Source organism: Homo sapiens, chromosome 4, assembly GCF_000001405.40.
Source record: "Homo sapiens chromosome 4, GRCh38.p14 Primary Assembly".
NCBI lineage: Eukaryota > Metazoa > Chordata > Mammalia > Primates > Hominidae > Homo > Homo sapiens.
The window spans coordinates 136,352,971-136,356,765 of NC_000004.12; the positions used below are offsets into that span (position 1 = coordinate 136,352,971).

General features: G+C 36.4%; 1 pseudogene; it reads right to left on the reverse strand.

The window, feature by feature from the left end:
* Positions 499–3,367, reverse strand: TERF1P3 (TERF1 pseudogene 3; annotated as a pseudogene).

The window sequence follows — 3,795 nt, forward strand, 5'->3', positions numbered from 1 at the left end:
TCCATCTTGAATTGATTTTTGTATAAAGTGTAAGGAAGGCATCCAGTTTCAGCTTTCTACATATGGTTAGCCAGTTTTCCCAGCACCATGTATTAAATAGGGAATCCTTTCCCCATTGCTTGTTTTTCTCAGGTTTGTCAAAGATCAGATAGTTGTAGATATGCAGCATTATTTCTGAGGTCTCTGTTCTGTTCCATTGATCTATATCTCTGTTTTGGTACCAGTACCATGCTAAACTCATTCTTTTATAGATATTTTAATATCTACATCATTAATTCTACTTGTTTCTTTTACATTTGCAGTAAACTTTTTATTTTTGTATACTTTTACATTTATAGAAAAGTTTGAGAATGGTGTGAACCAGAGAGGCGGAGCTTGCAGTGAGCCGAGATCGCTCCACTGCACTCTAGCCTGGCAACAGAGCAAGTCTCCTTCTCAAAAAAAAAAAAAAAAAAAAGTGAAAATACTAAAGAATCCCCATACAACAAAAAGCCTGTTTATCTTAACATCTTACACAATATCAGGCATGATTTTTTTTAACTCATCCATGTTTCTGTTTATATACAGGATAACAAATTCAGGAACAATGGGAAAGTAATATATAAAACCTTAATAGGAAATACAATAGAGATTACAAAACACTACCATTTGATTTTTTATGCAAATACTTCAATAGTACAATATTTTTACTCACTTGATAAATAAAGCACATGACTCAAAATGCTAAATAATTCTGTTAGTCTAAATTTTTAAAGAATAAAATGTTGGTGAAAAACCAAAATTGTTTAGTAAGGTATGTATGATCTTGTTTATTATCTATCATAGATATCAAGAAGATCATAGTTAATAACAATTTAAGCTTTAGAGAATACTGTTTTAGGCCCAATATTGATATATTAAATGAAGGTATCAGAGAATCTTTTATTTATGGTATCAGGTTATAAAGATCTATTCAAAACCATTTTTGTCAAAGTTTAAACACTGGAACAAAAGTCAAATTGTTTCTAAATGAGACACAAAATGATTCTTGCTAATAGTACAAATTTTGTCCCATGGGTAATACTATTGTCTTTTTCTTTTTAAAAAAAATTATTTAAATTTTTATTTCAGATTCAGGGAACACATGGGCAGGTTTGTTAGCTGGGTATACTGTGTGATGTTGAGGTTTGGGGCACGGATGATCCTGTCACCCAGGTAGTGAGCAGAGTCCCCAGTAGGTAGTTTTTCAGCTCTTGCTCCTGCTCCCCTCCCTACCTCCCCAGTGTCTATTATTCCCATGGGTCCTCAGGTATTACTATTTTCAAGTTTTTTTCTTTACATGAAACTACTGAAAGCAAAAGTATGTCATGCTTATAGGTTACTCTGTACATTTATCATTCTATTAATAAACATCTTAAGTAAGTAAGTAGTATATTAAGGCCATAAACCAAGTCATTATCTCCTATCAAAGGACTACTGTTATTCAATCATCTAGAAAATTCATTTTAGGAAGGACGCAGTGGCTCACATCTGTAATCTCAGCACTTTGGGAGGCCAAGGTGGGTGGATCATGAAGTCAAGAGTTCGAGACCATCCTGATCAGCATGGTGTAACCCCGCCTCTACTAAAAATACAAAAATTAGCTGGGCGTGGTTGTGTGTGCCTGTAATCCCAGCTACTCAGGAGGCTGAGGCAGGAGAATTGCTTGAACCCGGAGGCAGAGGTTGTAGTGAGCTGAAATTGCGCCACTGCACTCCAGCCTGGGCAACAGAGAGAAACTCTTGTCTTAAAAAAAAAGAAAATTCATTTTAATGGGTTATGTTACAGGGTTGAGGTCAGCCTACAGACACAAAATAGGTTAACTGAATTTTTTTTTTCGTATCAGGTTTTAATTTTTTCATTGGAACAGGATTTGGGGGTGGGGATACTAAATGTGGCAGGGTTCAACAAATTTACATTTTATCAAAATAAGATTCTTAAAGAATACAATGATAGCATATGCTTTAACTTTTATAGCACAAACCCTCATATTAATTGATGGTCACAGAAAAATACTGTAATGCTCTAAACAAAAGTTTTAAAATACATCAATGACACAAGTTTCAAATAAAATGCAGAGATCAAAATACTTAACTGTCCTTTCATCAAGCTTTTACAAACACAGTCTTCGCTGTCTGAGCAAATCAATTTTAGTTTCTTCATGGTCCTCCATCTGTCTTTTAACATGACATTTGTCCAGCTGTTGAATTTATAATGCAATAGTATTTTAGACCAGTTTCCCTCTCCGTATTTCCTCACGCCAGATCTCAGATTCTTGTCTTCTTCCCAAAGCCATGCCTGTCTTTTTCTAGCTCGATATTTTTCAGGAGTTACCGGTTGACTCTTTGAAACAGGTATTCTGCTTTCAGTGGCTCTTCTGCTTTCTTTTTTCTTTTTTGTACTTTGAAGAGTTCCTACTCTTCTTTATTTCTTATTAAGGTCTTGTTGCTGGGTTCCATGTTGCAACTTAGATAAGAAAAGATTCTTGTGAGACTTTTTCTTGTATCCAAATTAGCTTCAGTTTCCATTTCAACATCATTACCATTAGGTTTATCTTGAGAAGTTACTGTGCTTGTTCTTTTACTTTCTACTACTTTTGCTGCTGCCTTCATTAGAAAGGTTGATGATTTTTCACTTAACACATAATTCACATAACTCTTAATTTTCTCCCTCATGTGGTTGTACCTGAAGTGTTGAAAAAAGGAATGAAATGTATCTTCCTGAGAGATTATCATAAGCAATTTGTTTTTGAGAGGCATATGAAAATTTGGATCACCAAATATTCTTTCAAAGACTTCTTCTGCTTCTTTAAAGTTGCCATTTTCCATACAAACAGCTGTAGCCTGAATTTTAATTAAATTCTGTATTTCTTCGTGAAGTTGGTCATGTTCCTTTTCAATTGAACCCCAAATCATCAGGGCTGATTCCAAGGGTGTAATTCGTTCATCATTTTCGAACTGTGCCTCAAGGGTTTTTCCTGCTGCAATTCTTGTCAAAAACTGACATATGTATATTGTTCTCAACTGGTAAGCTGTTAGACTGGATAGCCCATGAATAATAGCCTCTGCGCTGTTGCGGGTCCGGCGGAAGTCCTCGGAGCGGCCCTCGCGGAAAGCTCCGCAAAGAGAGAGGCAGAGGAAATCGAACATCCAGCCGGCAGCCCATGGCCTTGCCCTCGGCCACCAGGCCGGGGTCCTCCTCCTCCTCCTTGGGCGCCCCCACCTGCACCTGGCACTCGAGCAGTTCCTGGCACTCGAACTGCTCCTCGTCGTTGCTCTTTGTTTCTGCCATCTGCTCCTCGGTAGGGTCGGCATCCCTACCAGCCGCACAACCCCGCGGGCTCGGGGCCCAATATCAGGCATGATTTTTTAAACTACACCTATTTTTCCACAAAGTTCGATTCTCTAAGCTTTTGTAAGTTTTTTTGTAAAAAAAAAAAAAAAACAAAAAACTGGTTGAGTTTTTGAGCCACGAATTTCTCTTTATATCAGTATAGATTTTGCACTATATTATGCAAAGTTAAGGCTGTGGCAAATTAAATAGATTAATATGCATTTAATAATGATAAGTACATTTATCCAAATGTCTAAATCATATCGTTAATAGGAAAATATCTTGGCCTTAACATTTCTTTCCTTATGTTATACCTTAGTGTGTATTTTCAGGAGTTCAACTGTAATCACTTTATAAAAATTGTAAAGGTTTAGCATTTTTGTAAACTGTGACTTTGTAAACTCTGACTGTGGACAGAGAGAAAGAGAGAGAGTTAGAAAGAGG